The following is a 19055-nucleotide window of genomic DNA, read 5'->3' as shown; positions in this document are numbered from 1 at the left end:
TATATAACATAATATATATTATATATTTATATAACATAATATATATAATATATTTATATAACATAATATATATATAATATATTTATATAACATAATATATATTATATATTTATATAACATAATATATATTATATATTTATATAACATAATATATATATTATATATTTATATAACATAATATATATATTATATATTTATATAACATAATATATATATTATATATTTATATAACATAATATATATATTATATATTTATATAACATAATATATATTATATATTTATATAACATAATATAAATATATATTATATATTTATATAACATAATATAAATATATATTATATATTTATATAACATAATATATATTATATATTTATATAACATAATATATATATTATATATTTATATAACATAATATATATATTATATATTTATATAACATAATATATACATTATATATTTATATAACATAATATATACATTATATATTTATATAACATAATATATACATTATATATTTATATAACATAATGTATACATTATATATTTATATAACATAATGTATACATTATATATTTATATAACATAATGTATACATTATATATTTATATAACATAATGTATATATTGTATATTTATATAACATAATGTATATATTGTATATTTATATAACATAATGTATATGATATATTTATATAACATAATATACATATGATATATTTATATAACATAATATATATATTATATTTATATATGATATATGAATAATATATTATAATTAATATATAATTATATATTATAAAGTAATATAAATATATATATAATTATATACATTTGTCTCAGGTCTCATTTTAAAGAGATACTTGAGAAAAATCAGTAAATATAACAAGGTGACCTTGTTTCAGTTTTGGCTCAAACAAACCAACTGTAGAAATTCATCTTTGACATTCCAAAGCAAACCTGGGGCCAGGTGCGGTGGCTCACGCCTGTAATCCCAGCACTTTGGGAGGCCCAGGCGGGCAGACCACCTCAGGTCAGGAGTTCGAGACCAGCCTGGCCAACATGGTGAAACCCCGTTTCTACTAAAAATACAAAAATTAGCTGGGTGTGGTGGTGCATGCCTGTGATCCCAGGTACTTGGGAGGCTGAGGCAGGAGAATCGCTTGAACCCGGGAGGCGGAGGTTGCAGTGAGCTGAGATTGCACCGTTGCACTCCAGCCTGGGTGACAAGAGTGAAACTCCATCTCAATAAATAAATAAATAAATGAAGCAAATCTGAACAAAGTCCCTTAAGGACTTACTGTTATTATGAAGGCTTCATAATTAGTGTTCTGGTTATGAAATAAAACATGTTATTATCTGTTAGATTTACATCCTAAAGTAATTTTAGGCTAAATGATGTAATGTCTGGACTATTGCCTTAAAATATCACAGCCTCAAAGAAACAGGTGCATGGAAAACAGTTGATGGGAATGCTTCCAGATAATCTTCTCCCGGATTCTGGATTTGCAAATTTGCATAAGAAAAGTTTAAAGCAGCGTGTGAAATTCAGGTCGACTTGCTTACTCCACAAATGGGCGTTATGTAGCAAATATGTGATTTTGCATTCACCGGAAGCAGTTATGATTCCTTAAAAAATGGAAAATCACAAGAGTTGGTGAGGAGGAGAAGGATGTAGAGAAATTGGACACTTCATATATTGTCTACTATTTTTGAAAAGATCCTTTCGGCCGGGCGCAGTGGCTCACACCTGTAATCTCAGCACTTTGGGAGGCTGAAGTGGGTGGATCACCAGGTCAAGAGTTCGAGACCATCCTGGCCAATGTGGTGAAACCCCATCTCTACTAAAGATACAAAAATTAGCTGGGTGTGGTGGTGCATGCCTGTAATCCCAGCTACTCAGGAGGCTGAGGCAGGAGAATGGCTTGAACCCGGGAGGTGGAGGTTGCAGTGAGCCGAGATCACACCACTGCACTGCAGCCTGGGTGACAGAGCGAGACTCCATCTCAAAAAATACATAAATAAATAATAAATAAAAATAAAAACAAAAGAAAGGATCCTTTCTAGGGTGTAGCACTACAGATCTTTGACTTAACAATCAGTCAAAATAAGAATTAAAACAATACACTTCGCTTGAGCCCAGGAGTTCAGGACAAGCGTGAACAACATAGCAAGACCCGATCTGTCCAAAAGTTACAAGAATTAGCTTGGCGTGGTGGCACTCACCTGTAGTCTCAGCTACTTGGGAGGCCGAAATGGGAGGATCACTTGAGCCCAGGTGGTCGAGGCTGCAGTGAGCCATGATTGCACCACCGCACTCCAGCCTGGGCAGCACAGTGAGACTCTGATTGCAGTGGAAAAATAGGAACACTTTTTTTTTTTTTTTTTTTTTGAGATGGAGTCTCGCTCTGTCACCCAGGCTGGACTGCAGTGGTGCGATCTCGGCTCACTGCAAGCTCCGCCTCCCAGGTTCATGCCATTCTCCTGCCTCAGCCTCCTGAGTAGCTGGGACTACAGGCACCCGCCACCATGCCCAGCTAATTTTTTGTATTTTTAGTAGAGACGGGGTTTCACCGTGTTAGGCAGGATGGTCTCGATCTCCTGACCTCGTGACCTGCCCGCCTCAGCCTCCCAAAGTACTGGGATTACAGGCGTGAGCCACCGCGCCTGGCGAAATAGGAACACTTTTACACTGTTTGTGGGAGCGTAAATTAGTTCAAACATGTGGAAGACAGTGTGGTGATTCCTCAAGGATCTAGAACCAGAAATACCATTTGATCCAGCCATCCCATTACTGGGTATATACCCAAAGGATTATAAATCATTCTACTATAAAGACACATGCACACGTATGTTTTTGCAGCACTATTCACAATAGCAAAGACTTGGAACCAACCCAAATGCCCCTCAATGACAGACTGGATAAAGAAAATGTGGCACGTAGACACCGTGGAATACTATGCAGCCATAAAAAAGGATGAGTTCATGTCCTTTGCAGGGACATGGATGAAGCTGGAAAGTATCATCCTCAGCAAACTCACACAGGAACAGAAAACCAAACACTGCATGTTCTCACTCATAAGTGGGAGTTGAACAATGAGAACATATGGACACAGGGAGGGGAACATCACACACTGGGGCCTGTCGGGGCGGCATGGGGTACTAGGGGAGGGAGAGCATTAGGACAAATGCCTTATGCATATGGGGCTTAAAACCTAGATGATGGGTTGATAGGTGCAGCAAGCCACCATGGCACATGTATACCTATGCAACAAACCTGCACGTTCTGCACATGTATCCCTGAAGTTAAAGTAAAATTTAAAAAATAAGAAATGATTGCATGGGCTGGCACAGTGGCTCACGCATGTAATCCCAGCACTTTGGGAGGCCAAGGTGGGCAGATCACCTGAGATCAGGTGTTCCAGACCAGCCTGACCAACATGGAGAAACGCCGTCTCTACTAAAAATACAAAATTAGACGGGCGTGGTGGCAGGTGCCTGTAGTCCCAGCTACTCGGGAGGCTGAGGCCAGAGAATCGCTTGAACCTGGGAGGCAGAGGTTGCAGTGAGCTGAGATTGCACCATTGCACTCCAATCTGGGCGACAAGAGCGAAACTCTGTCTCAACAAAGAAAAAAAAAAAAAGATTGCAATGGCAAATTTATGGTATGTGTATTTTACCAGAATAGAAAAAGTAGTTCATGAAGGTATTTTAAAATGTTTAAGAGATAACATCTCCTACTGCACTCCAGCCTGGGCAACAGAGCGAGACTCTGTCTCAAAAAAAAAAAAAAAAAAAAAAAAAAAAAAGGAAAAAAATAGCATCTCTTAAATGATACCATGCATCCTCTCATATATTTCTTCTAGCCCCACCTTTTTCTTTCTCAAATATGTTCTCATGAATTGGGAAACAGAACTGCCATTTCCACACCTCATTTGACCCCATCCCTAAATGTTTACTAAGGCGTCCTTGCTCAACAGCACCCACTCCACTTCCCCTGTCCTTCTGTTTCTGTCCTGCATTCTGTGCAGACACCACTCAGAGGAACTGTGGTTAGAGAAAAGCTTGATAGCTTTTCTCTAACCACAGTTCCTCTGAGCAGCCAGGATGGATGGGGCCTGGCTTAGAACTGATGCTTCCGTTGCAGAGAAAGGGAGAAGGTCCCGTCTGGTATCTGACGGAGATGTCTGGGCAACAAGAGAGGCAAGCATTAGGGATCACATTCAGCCCAGGGAATGTGGCCGGGATACACAGATAGATAGATAGATGATAAATACGTAGATAGATGATAGATAGCTGATAGACTGATGATAGACAGATGATAGACTGATGATAGATAGATAGATACATGACAGACAGATACATGGACACATAGATTGATGATAGGTTGATGATTAATAGACTCATGATAGATAGATAATAGATGAGATCAATCAAAAGTTAGATGATAGATGAGAATAGATAAATAGATACATAGACAGATAGATAATGGATAGATAGATACACAGATAGTAGATAGATAGACGAATGGATAGATCTATAGTTACATAGGTGATAGATAGAAAATAGAAGATAGATAGATGGATGATTGATAGACTGATGATAGATACATGACAGATTGATACATAGATAGATTGATGATAGATTGATGATTAATAGACTGATGATAGATAATAGATGAGATCGATCGATAGTTAAATGATAGATGAGAATAAATAGATGATAGAGAAATAGATAGGTCGAGAAATAGGTAGATAGATAATGGATAGATACATAGATAGTAGATGAATGGATGGTTCTATAGATACATAGATAATAGACAGGTAGATGGAAGATAGAAGATAGACAGATGAATGATTTATAGAAAGACTGATGATACATAGGTGGATAGATAGATACATACATGATAGATGATAATATATGCAATCAATAGAATATAGATGATGGATAGATAGATAGATAATAGATTAGATAGATAGATAGATGATACATGATACATAGATACATAGACAGATGGATGATAGATGATAGATAGATACATACATACATAGATACATAGATGGATAGATAGATGATAGATAAAAAGATGATAGAAAAACAGAAAGATGATAGATGATAGATAAATAGATAGATGCATAGATGGATGGATGGATGGATAGATGGATGGATAGATACATAGATACATAGATGGATGGATAGATAGCTAGTACACAGATACATAGATACATAGATAGATGGATGGATGGATGGATAGACAGACAGACAGACAGATAGATAGACAGACAGACAGACACATAGATAGATACCAATGTGAGGTGGGTTGGATCCCAGGAGGTGAGGGATGAGAGGGAATTCAGAGTTGAGACAGGTGGCAGGGACAGATGAGCCTCTCAAGGGTCCCAGTTGCCCAATTGACGAAGGGTGTGGACTCCAGAGGGAGAAGTGGGGTCCAGGAAGTAATGAAGTCAGGCTGGAAACCACCAGAACAGAGACACAGGGACAGACCCAGGCCCAGAGCTGGGAGTCAGTGACCAGTTCCCAAAACAGAGTGAGGCTTGGGGATGTAGTGAGGCCAGAAGTCAGAGCTGACGCTGTGGAATTTCCAATGTGGGGATGCCTCAGGCCAGACTGTGTGTGGGCAGTGGGCTCAATGGAGGCCTCCCCAAAAGATATGTCCACCCGGATCCTGGGAAAGTGACCTTATTTGGAAACAGGGTCTTTGCAGATGTAATTAGGTGAAGGATCTTGAGATGGGATCATCCTGGAGTAGGGTGGGCCCTAAATCTAATGACAGGTGTCCTTCTAAGAGACAGAAGAGGAGACACAGTCACAGAGGAGAAGGCCACATAGAGATGAAGGCAGAGACTGGAGTGATGTGGCCACAAGCCCAGGGATGCCTGGAGCCCCCAGGAGCTGAGAGAGGCAGGAAGGACCCTCCCCTAGAGCCTGCAGAAGGAACTGGATACAATTGTAATGGATTGAACAGTGGCCCTCAGAAGCACATATTCACGTAATAACCCCCAGAACCTGGGAATGGGACCTCATTTGGAAAAAGGGTCTTTGCAGATGTGATTAAGGATCTGGAAACGAGATCATCCCGAATTAGGATGGGCCCTAAACACAATGACAGGTGTCCTTGTAAGAGACAGAAGAGGGGACACAGACACAGGGGAGAAGGCCACGTGGAGATGGAGGCAGAGACTGCAGTGAAGTGGCCACAAGCCCAGGGACACCTGGAGCCCCAGGAGCTGGGAGAGGCAGGAAGGACCCTCCCCTAGAGCTTCCAGAGGAAGCACGTTTCTGCCCACACCTTGATCTCAGACTTCCATTCTCCAGGGCTTGGAGAGGATGACTTGCTGATGAATTTAGGTCCCACTTTGGTAGTTCATGTGAGTCACTCGTTGGAGAAGTGAGCCCTTCCTCTGGGGTCCTGTGGAGAATCCTGACTCGTACAGGAGCCGGTGGTATGTCTTCAATCCATGTCCACATTTGGCTTTGACGGCTGCCATCTCAGCGCCTCCATTTGGGATTCCTACAGGGAATTTCCCATGGGAGGTGGGGACAGAGTCCAGAGGGAGGCCGTGCAGCAAAGAATGAAAATCATCCGCCTTGGTTTCCCCATCTTTAAAAGGAAGCGTCTTCACCAATGACCTCTGTGGCAGCTTCCAGCTCTAGGGTTTGAACCCTGCTGACGTTTGAGCTCATGTCTGCACATATGTGGGCAGTGACCCACAGCACAGGTGATGAGACATTTTCCAGGTCCAGGAAACCCACTCCTTGTGCCTCAGGAAATCCCTCCAGGACACCTGAGTTCATGTCTCTCCTTTTTACATCTGTCCAGTGACCCAGACTGGAGGCGTGGCTGCAGCTGGTTCATCGGTGCTTGTAGTTGTGAACTAGTGAGACTCACCCCAGCTGGCTTATGCACAAAAGGAATTTAGTGAAAAGATCCGAGAGCTCATTTTCCCCCTGAGAGAACCCGGGCACTGAGCTTGGGGGCTGATGCATGGGTGGAGGGATGGGCAGGTGCCTAGGGGGTGCCCTGTCCACAGCTCTTCCCACCAGCTGGACTCAAAGCAGCAGCGTGTCCTGGAGCTCAGCCCCAATTCTGCTTCTGCGAGTTGGGGTACCTGACCCCACCTACACCAAAGGGTCCCAGATGGCACCGGCTTCTCCATGCTGTTAGATCTACCTAGCCATCATCTGCCTATCTATTATCTATCTATCTATCTATCTATCTATCTATCTATCTATCTATCATCTATCTACCTATCATCTATCTATCTATCTATCAAATCTATCATCTATCAAATCTATCATCTATCTATCAAATCTATCGTCTATCTATCTACCTATTATTTATCTATTTATCATCTATCATTTATCTATCCATCCATCTATTCATCCATCCATCCACCATCCATCCATCCATCCACCATCCATCCATCCATCCATCCATCCATCTATCCATCATTTGTCCATCCATTCATTCTATCTATCGTCTATCTATCTATCTACCTACCTACCTATCTATTATCTATTTATCATCTATCTAACCATCCATTTATTCATCCATCCATCCACCATCCTTCCATCTATTCATCCATCATTCATCCATCCATCCATCCATCCATCCATCATTTATCCATCCATTCTATCTATCTATCTATCTATCTATCCATCTATCTATCATCTATCTATCTATTGTCTGTCTCCATTTATCTATCTCTAATCTATCTGCAATTTATATATGTATCAATCACTTATTGTCTATCAATCACCTATGTAGTTATCATTTATCATATCTATCATCTCTCACCTATTTCCTCTATTATCAATATATCCATGTATATATCCATCTACCTATTATCTATCTATCTATCATATCTATCTCAACTTTATTTATTGTCTTTTTATCTATTTGTCTCTAATTCATCAATCACCTATCATCTTCCTTTCATTATGTATCATCTATCTTATCTACCTATCTGCAATCTCTCATCTATCAATCTAATCTATCATGTACTTCCAGTTTTTTAGCATCTATCTATCTATCTATCTATCTATCTATCTATCTATCTATCTATCTATCTATCTTCTATCAATTTCTAGTTTATCCATCATCTATCTATCTAATCTATATCTATCTAATCTATCATCTGTCTATCATCTATCAATTTCTAGTTCATCCATCATCTATCTAATCTATCATCTATCTATCTATCATCTATCATCTATCAATTTCTAGTTTACCCATCATCTATCTATCTACCTAATCTATCATCTATCTGTCTATGTAATCTATCGTCTATCTATCATCTATCAATTTCTAGTCTATCCATCATCCATCCATCTATCTATCTATCTATCTATCTATCTATCTATCTATCTATCTATCTATCTGATCTATCATCTATCTGTCTATCTGTCTGTCTATGGAAGTGGTTTGCAACCAGGGATAATTTTGTCCCCCAGAGGACACTGGACAATGTCTGGAGACATCTTTGGTTTTCACAGCTGGGGAGAGGGTGGCCCTAGCACCTGCTTGGGGAGCCCAGGGCCGCTGCTCAACACCCTACAGTGCCCAGGACGGCCCCACCACAGAGAGTCCTCCAGCCCCAAATGTCAGCTGTGCCAGGGCTGAAAAAGCCTGTGTTAGACTTAATTCTGGGAAGTGGTAGAAATATGGTCCCATGTTTTTCAGGGTTATATTAGATAATTCATTCTTCTCCTCTCCTGCCCTGCCTGGATGATAGATACATAAATGATGATGATGATGATGATGATGATGAAGATAGATAGATAGATAGATAGATACATATAGATAATAAATAAATTAGAGATAGATGATAGATACATACACACATAGATGATAGAAAGACAGAAACGATAGATGAGATAGATAAATGGGTAGTAAATAAATTAGAGATAGATGATGGATAAACAGGTAGATGATAAACAGATAGAGATGAGAGGATAGATGATAGATATATGGATGAGAAATAAATTAGAGATAGATAATAGATACACACATAGATAGATGAGATAGGTACATAAACGGATAATAAATTAGAGAGATAGATGATTGATAGATAGATGATTGATAAACTAGAAATTGATAGATAGATGATAGATAGATAGATAGATGATAGATAGATAGATAGATAGATAGATAGATAGATAGATAGATAGATGATAGATAGATAGATAGATTAGACAGATTTGCCCAGCACGGGGACTCACGCCTGTAATCCCAGCACTTTGGGAGGCCGACTCAGGTGGATTGCCTGAGCTCAGGAGTCTGCGACCAGCCTGGGCAAGACGGTGAAACCCCGTCTCTACTAAAATACAAAAAATTAGCCGGGTGTGGCGACGGGTGCCTGTCGTCCTAGCTACTCGGGAGGCTGAGGCAGGAGAATCGCTTGAACCCAGGAGGCAGAGGTTGCAGTGAGCGGAGATGAGCCGAGATCACACCACTGCACTCCAGCCTGGGTAACAAGAGCAAAACTCCATCTCTAAATAAATAAATAAATAAATAGAGAGAGAGAGAGAGAGATGATAGAAAGATTAAACAGATTGGCCGTGCACAGTGGCTCACGCGTATAATCCCAGCACTTTGGGAGACCGAGGTGAGTGGACCACCTGAGGTCAGGAGTTCAAGACCAGCCTAATCAACATGGTGAAACCCCGTCTCTACTAAAAATACAAAAATTTGCTGGGCAAGGTGGCGGCGGCTGTAATCCCAGCTACTGGAGAGGCTGAGGCAGGATAATTGCTTGAACCCAGGAAGGGGAGTTTGCAGTGAGCGGAGATCATGCCACTGCACTCCAGCCTGGGTGACAGAGCAAAACTCCGTCTCTAAATAAATAAATAAGTAGAGAGAGAGAGAGGGAGAGAGAGACGATAGAAAGATTAAACAGATTGACTGGGCACGGTGGCTCACACCTATAATCCCAGCATTTTGGGAGGCTGAGGCAGGCAGAGAACTTGAGGTCAGGAGTTTGAGACTAGCCTGGCCAACATGGTGAAATACTATCTCTACTAAAAATACAAAAATCAGCTGGGCCTGGTGGCAGACACCTGTAATCCCAGCTACTTGGGAGGCTGAGGCAGGAGAATCGCTTGAACCTGGGAGGCGGAGGTTGCGGTGAGCTGAGATGGCGCCACTGCACTCCAGGCTGGGCAACAGAGTGAGACTCTGTCTGTAAATAAATAAATAAATAAATAAGAGTGTGAGAGAGAGATGATAGAAAAATTAAACAGATGAGCTGGGCATGGTGGCTCATGCCTATAATCCCAGCACTTTGGGAGGCCGAGGTGGGTGGATCACCTGAGGTCAGGAGTTTGAGACTAGCCTGGCCATCATGGTGAAACCCTGTCTCTACTAAAAATACAAAAATTAGCCGGGCGTGGTGAGGCACGCCTACAGTCCCAGCTACTCAGGAGGCTGAGGCAGGAGAATCGCTTGAACCTGGGAGGTGGAGCTTGCAGTGAGCTGAGATTGTGCCACTGCACTCCAGCCTGGGCAACAAGAGCAAAACTCTGTCTCAAAATAAATAAATAAATAAATAAATAAATAAATAAATAAATAAGAGAGAGAGAGAGATGATAGAAAGATTAAACAGATTAGCCAGGCACGGTGGCTTCCGCCTGTAATCTCAGCACTTTGGGAGGCTAAGGCGGGTGGATCACCTGAGGTCAGGAGTTCGAGACCAGCCTGGCCAACATGGCGAAACCCCGTCTTTACTAAAAATACAAAAATTAGCCGGGCATGTTGGCTGGCGCCTGTAGTCCCAGCTACTCGGGAGGCTGAGGCAGGAGAATCGCTTGAACCCGGGAGGCGGAGGTTGCAGTGAGCTGAGATCGCGCCATTGCACTCCAGCCTGGGTGACAGAGCGAGACTCTGTCTCTAAATAAATAAATAAATAAATAAATTAATTAATAAGAGTGTGTGAGAGAGACATGATAGAAAGATTAAACAGATTGGCTGGGCATGGTGGCTCATGCCTATAATCCCAGCACTCTGGGAGGCCGAGGCAGGTGGATCACCTGAGGTCGGGAGTTTGAGACCATCCTGGCCAACATGGTGAAACCCTGTCTCTACTAAAAATACAAAAATCAGCCGGGCGTGGTGGCGGGCGCCTAGAGTCCCAGCTACTTGGGAGGCTGAGGCAGGAGAATCACTTCAACCCGGGAGGGGGAGGTTGCAGTGAGCCGAGATCGTGCCATTGCACTCCAGCCTGGGCAACAAGAGCAAAATTCCGTCTCAAAATAAATAAATAAATAAATAAATAAATAAATAAATAAATAAGAGAGAGAGAGATGATAGAAAGATTAAACAGCTTAGCCAGGCACGGTGGCTCGTGCCTGTTATCCCAGCACTTTGGGAGGCCGAGGCAGGCGGATAACCTGAGGTCAGGAGTTTGAGACCAGCCTGGCCAACACGGTGAAACCCCGTCTCTATTAAAAATACAAAAATTAGCCAGGCATGATGGTGCACGCCTATAGTCCCAGCTACTTGGGAGGCTGAGGCAGGAGAATCCTTTGAACCTGGGAGGTGGAGCTTGCAGTGAGCCGAGATTGTGCCACTGCACTCCAGCCTGGGCAACAAGAGCAAAACTACGTCTCAAAATAAATAGATAAATAAATAAATAAATAAATAAATAAATAAAAGAGAGAGAGATGATAGAAAGATTGAACAGATTGGCTGGGCATGGTGGCTTATCCCTATAATCCCAGCACTTTGGGAGGCCGAGGCAGGCGGATCACCTGAGGTCAGGAGTTCGAGACCAGCCTGGCCATCATGGCAAAACCCAGTCTCTATTAAAAATACAAAAATTAGCCGGGCATGACGGCGGGTGCTTGTAATTCCAGCTGCTCGGGAGGCTGAGGCAGGAGAATCACTTGAACCCGGGAGGCGGAGGTTGCGGTGAGCCGAGATCACGCCATTGCACTCCAGCCTGGGCAACAAGAGTGAAACTTCTTCTCAAAACAAAACCACAAAAAGAAAAAAAAAAAACAACAATCTGTGCACCATCTGTCACAGAGAACCACTCAGCACGACCCCGGGGCGTTTTGACATTTTATACCCTAGACACGAGCCCATAGATCATTCGTACCTTGTGCGTTTGGCCGTCTCATTATGGGAATTTATTTCCTTGCTTTGTAGTCGGTGGAGGCTCCGTCCTAATTGTTTCTTCCATGTGCTGTAAATCTGTCTGCCAATCAGCAGAACATGAGGCAGGGAGCCGGCAATTTCCTCTCTGACCGCCGTGCGGGTCGAGGCTGAGTGTTGAAATAAAATGAAACATGTTTGCACCCCTCCCCGGTCCCCTCACGCCAGACCCCTCGCATTCATCTGCTGCAGGAATTTTTAATATTCTGGCCATACCCTCGGCATGAGGTCATCCCGGGCTGTAATTGGAACAACCGTCCTCGGGGCCTGAAACGCTGCCTCACACCTGGCTTCAGGCCACGGCCATTCTCTGACTCCCAGACTTTAATTCCGTCACGCCTCATCTGGTTTGATGTAGTCTTTTGTAGTGAGTTCACAAATATATTCTGAGGTTTCCAGTGCGATGGGGCGGCCGTTGAGTGGCGTCTGGGATCCTGCAGCACGCCGGCCCCAAACAGGCCAATTTGTCCTGTCTCTGTGGGATCTCTTGGTTCTAGGAGATCAGATTTGGTCTGGGTCACCCAAATCTGTGTGCACCCCAACCTCCACTGTCTGCCCTTCCATCCCTAGGTGCTGGCTCAGGTACTGGGCAAACTTTACAAGGAATATATACATGGTGTGGAATTTCTTAGCTTCTATCTGAACAAAGTTGAAACTTGGGGAAAATAATGATCGTTTGCTTTTCAAATCTCTCTAGTTAACCAATCAAAGTACGGCATGCGTACCCAGGTAGAGTGGAATTCGAGGTAAACAGCAGAACAGTTGCATGCTCAGGTACATTTGAGTTGGAGATAAACAGCAGAACAGATGCGTGCCCAGGTACACTTGAATTCGAGGTGAACAGCAGTATGGATGCATGCCCAGGTACACTTGAATTCGAGATAAACAGCAGTATGGATGCATGCCCAGGTACACTTGAATTCGAGGTGAACAGGAGTATGGATGCATGCCCAGGTACACTTGAATTCGAGGTGAACAGGAGTATGGATGCGTGCCCAGGTACACTTGAATTCGAGATAAACAGCAGAACAGATGCGTGCCCAGGTACACTTGAATTCGAGGTGAACAGCAGTATGCATGCGTGCCCAGGTACACTTGAATTCGAGGTGAACAGGAGTATGGATGCATGCCCAGGTACACTTGAATTCGAGGTGAACAGGAGTATGGATGCGTGCCCAGGTACACTTGAATTCGAGATAAACAGCAGAACAGATGCGTGCCCAGGTACACTTGAATTCGAGGTGAACAGCAGTATGGATGCATGCTCAGGTACACTTGAATTCGAGGTGAACAGCAGTATGCATGCGTGCCCAGGTACACTTGAATTCGAGGTGAACAGGAGTATGGATGCATGCCCAGGTACACTTGAATTCGAGGTGAACAGGAGTATGGATGCATGCCCAGGTACACTTGAATTCGAGATAAACAGCAGAACAGATGCGTGCCCAGGTACACTTGAATTCGAGATAAACAGCAGTATGGATGCATGCCCAGGTACACTTGAATTCGAGGTGAACAGCAGTATGCATGCGTGCCCAGGTATACTTGAATTCGAGGTGAACAGGAGTATGGATGCATGCCCAGGTACACCTGAATTCGAGATAAACAGCAGTATGGATGCATGCCCAGGTACACTTGAATTCGAGGTGAACAGGAGTATGGATGCATGCCCAGGTACACTTGAATTCGAGATAAACAGCAGTATGGATGCATGCCCAGGTACACTTGAATTCGAGGTGAACAGCAGTATGGATGCATGCCCAGGTACACTTGAATTCGAGGTGAACAGCAGTATGGATGCATGCCCAGGTACACTTGAATTCGAGATGAACAGCAGTATGGATGCATGCCCAGGTACACTTGAATTCGAGATGAACAGCAGTATGGATGCATGCCCAGGTACACTTGAATTCGAGGTGAACAGCAGTATGGATGCATGCCCAGGTACACTTGAATTCGAGATGAACAGCAGTATGGATGCATGCCCAGGTACACTTGAATTCGAGGTGAACAGCAGTATGGATGCATGCTCAGGTACACTTGAATTCGAGGTGAACAGCAGTATGGATGCATGCCCAGGTACACTTGAATTCGAGGTGAACAGCAGTATGGATGCGTGCCCAGGTACACTTGAATTCGAGGTGAACAGCAGTATGGATGCATGCCCAGGTACACTTGAATTCGAGGTGAACAGCAGTATGGATGCATGCCCAGGTACACTTGAATTCGAGATAAACAGCAGTATGGATGCATGCTCAGGTACACTTGAATTCGAGATAAACAGCAGTATGGATGCATGCCCAGGTACACTTGAATTCGAGGTGAACAGCAGTATGGATGCATGCCCAGGTACACTTGAATTCGAGATAAACAGCAGTATGGATGCATGCCCAGGTATACTTGAATTCGAGGTGAACAGCAGTATGGATGCATGCTCAGGTACACTTGAATTCGAGATAAACAGCAGAACAGATGCGTGCCCAGGTACACTTGAATTCGAGGTGAACAGGAGTATGCATGCGTGCCCAGGTACACTTGAATTCGAGATAAACAGCAGTATGGATGCATGCTCAGGTACACTTGAATTCGAGATAAACAGCAGTATGGATGCGTGCCCAGGTATACTTGAATTCGAGGTGAACAGGAGTATGGATGCATGCCCAGGTATACTTGAATTCAAGGTGAACAGCAGTATGCATGCGTGCCCAGGTATACTTGAATTCAAGATAAATAGCAGAACAGATGCATGCCCGGGTACACTTGAATTCGAGGTGAACAGCAGTATGCATGCGTGCCCAGGTACACTTGAATTCGAGGTGAACAGCAGTATGGATGCATGCCCAGGTACACTTGAATTCGAGGTGAACAGCAGTATGCATGCGTGCCTAGGTATACTTGAATTCGAGATAAACAGCAGTATGCATGCATGCCCAGGTATACTTGAATTCTACATAAACAGCAGAACAGATGCGTGCTCAGGTGCACTTGAATTCGAGGTGAACAGCAGTATGCATGCTTGCCCAGGTACACTTGAATTCGAGGTGAACAGCAGTATGGATGCATGCCCAGGTACACTTGAATTCGAGGTGAACAGCAGTATGCATGCGTGCCCAGGTACACTTGAATTCGAGGTGAACAGCAGTATGCATGCGTGCCCAGGTATACTTGAATTCAAGATAAATAGCAGAACAGATGCATGCCCGGGTACACTTGAATTCGAGGTGAACAGCAGTATGCATGCGTGCCCAGGTACACTTGAATTCGAGATCAACAGCAATATTGCATGGGACGTACTTCTACCAAAAATGCATATGCCGTTTCTCTGAATAAATGTGGAAGAAATGAAAGTTCTACATGCCCAACAACTCTTTGCCTCCATTTCCTTACGGTCGTGAAGCCACACCTGCCAGGAGCTACTAATCTATTTCCTCAGCACCAGAACCCTCTTGCTCATTTGGGGAATCCGTCTCCCTGCAGTTGACCTGTGGACCTCCAGCATCCTTGGGCAACCTGAGGACCCTAAGCCTGTAGCTGAGTCTATGATACGCAGGCTGGGAGGAATGTCCCCTCCACGAGGCTGCTGTGGACTCCCATTGCAGGAGAAATGAAACTTCGTAATACAGCGGAGGTCCCTGAATGAGCTTTTCTCCCTGGTGCATGGAAGTGAACTCAGTGTGTCTCTGGAAATCTGGAAACCTCCTTTTCTCAGTTCAGGCTGCCTGCATCATGCTGGTTTGCTTCCTGCAACAAAACAGGCCATCCAGACACCTCTCTGTTTTCCTTCAAATATATCCCCACGTTACCACAACATTCGTGGGCAGGACCTCGGTGCCTGAGGTCGGAATACAGACACCTCTGACATGGCATGGCTGTACCTGCAGATAACCCTTCCTCGGCCGTCACTGAAGCCACACCTCTACACAGCTGTCTGTTGTCTTACAGCGGCATAAGCTTAGAACAGATTTTTTTTTGACACGTATTATAGCACCTGCTGGCTTCATTTCCCTCCCTTATATCATAACATTGCTTGTTGATTTGTGTCAATGGATTTGCATCTTCTGCCCGGCACACACACACACACACATACACACACACACACACGTCCACCCCACTCCCCCCACTAGTGACCATGTATACTTGAATTCGAAGTAAATAGCACACACAAGAGGTATGTCCAGCACGTCATTCTCACAGGCCTGATTTCACAGCGGTGCTGGAGGCAAACCTCTCAGCCTCCAGCCTGTACAGATGGAATAATGACAAATTGTATAAATATGTGCAAATTGTCCAAATGATGTCATGTGTGCCCCGGCCTGCTCCCCAAGCGGGCAGAACGCTTCAGCGGAAGGTCAGGGCAGGCCTTGCTCTGAATTCAATTGAGGTAATTACATTCAATTTGCTTAAATGTATCACAGAGAAAAGCCCGGTCTGTTGATCTCAATCGTATTAAGAAGTTTATTTTCCGCTGGGGCAGGACTCCACGGCCTCACGGAGAGCAAGCCTTCTCTAGATGATGTCCTTCTCTCTCCTGCTTGATTCCAGGTTCTGGGGGCAGCCCTGAGAATGCCAGAGAGGGCCCCCGCCCCTGCCACAAGAAATACCTTATGGCTCTCTCCCTAGCCACCTGCAGGGCTCAGAATGGCCCCAGATAAGCGTGAGGATTTCTGTGCTTAGGGAATAGTTTGCCAGCTCTTTGCAGGTGTGGTTTGACAATGCCAGTGGTTTGACAATGCCAGTGAGTGAACAGAGCCTGAGGTTTCACCCCAAAAGATCATTGTGTGGTTTGTCTACCAGAGGCTCTCCTCGTTTCTGAGAAGAGGGAAGCAGGGCCCATATGCCTTTCGAGGTTGCCTCTGTCTCTAACGCAGTGTCACTCAATGCCAGCCTCATGACGGTGAGAGTCCCCTGAGTGGCCCACGCTGTCTTGTGACAATGCCACTTGTCTGTGAAGGAGAAAGCCAGGCTGACTTGCACACTGAGTGCTCCAAGGATGGAGGGGGTCCCCGGAGTGGGTACCACACCTCCCTCTTTGCAGACAAGGAGGGGGCAGCTCTGAGACCCACAGGGATGTAGGAGTGAGTGCGTGTGAGGCAGAACCGAACCTCCCCAGGAAGGGAGGGAAAAGCAGGTGGCTGATATCTGCAGGGTCCTCTTGTACCTGAAACTCCAAAACTTTACACTATTTTCAGAATAACAGCAGCAGCAGATAGAAAAGAACTCATGAGGGTTATGTCTTATAAAATAACAGAAAATATCTTAGGCAGACTGGGGAGTTCCTACCTATCTATTACCCATCTATCATCTATCGATCTATTGATCTATTTATCTATAATCTATCTAACATCTATCATCTATCAATCATCTATCATCTACTATATATCCATCATCATCTATCCATCCACCTATCTATCCATCTATCTATATGTGTATTTATCTATTGAATCTATAATCTATGTATCAGTTATCTATCTACCTATCATCTATCCCTGTAACTATCCACTTACCTATCTATCTACCTATCTATCCATCTATCTATCCATCTAATGTATTATCTATGTATTTATCTATTGAATCTATAATCTATGTATCAATTATCTACCTATCATCTATCTGTCTGGCTAGCTAGCTATCTATCTACCTATCATCTCTCTACTATCTATCTATCATTAACTATATATCCATCATCTATCATCCATCCATGTATCCATCTGTCTATCCATCTATCTATATATATTATCTATTGAATCTATAACCTATGTATCAATTATCTATCTACCTATCATCTATCCCTGTAGCTATCTATTCATCTATCCATCTAATGTATTATCTATTTATCTATTGAATGTATAATCTATGTATCAATTATCTATCTTCTATCCATCTAGCTAGCTAGCTGTCTATCTACCTATCATCTCTCTACTATCACCTACTATATATCCATCATCTATCTATTATCCATCCATCTATATATGTATTTATCTATCGAATCTATAATCTATGTATCAATTATCTGTCTACCTATCATCTATCCCTGTATCTATCTATTCATCTATCCATCTAATGTATTATCTATCTATTGAATCTATAATCTATGTATCACTTATCTACCTATCATCTATCCATCTAGCTGTCTATCTACCTATCATCTTTCTACTATTTATCATCTACTATATATCCATCCTCTATCTATTATCCATCCATCTATATATGTATTTATCTACCAAATCTATAATCTATGTATCAATTATCTGTCTACCTAACATCTATTCCTGTATCTATCTACCTATCATCCCTGTACTATCTGCCTATCTAGCTATCATCTATGCATCTATCCAGTTATCTCCCTATATATCTGTTATATATTTATCTACCTATCTCTATCATTTATGTAATCTAACTCATCTATTCCTATGTATTAATAATATAATATTAACTCATCTATTATTAACTAACATTAATAGTATAATAACTAATAAGTAACTAATTATTAACTAATTATATATTATTATATATTATTATATATAATTAGTTAATTATTAACTAATTATTAACTAATTAGCTAATATTATTAGTATAACTAATATAATTAGTATTATTAATGTTATTTAATATATTAACTAATATTTAATATATTATAATATATTAAATAATATTAGTTAATATATTATAATATATTATATTATATTAATTATTATTAATAACAATATATTATTAAATAATATATCATTAACTAATATAATATTAACGAATATATTAGTTATTAACTAATAACTAATATATTATTATTAATATATCATTAACTAATATATTAACTAATATTATTAACTAATAATTAACTAATTATTAACTAATAGTAGTATAGTAACTAATATTAATATAATA

Source organism: Homo sapiens, chromosome X, assembly GCF_000001405.40.
Source record: "Homo sapiens chromosome X, GRCh38.p14 Primary Assembly".
In the NCBI taxonomy this organism is placed as follows: Eukaryota; Metazoa; Chordata; class Mammalia; order Primates; family Hominidae; genus Homo; species Homo sapiens.
The sequence above is the reverse complement of the archived record's forward strand: the minus strand, read 5'-3'. Positions refer to the sequence as shown.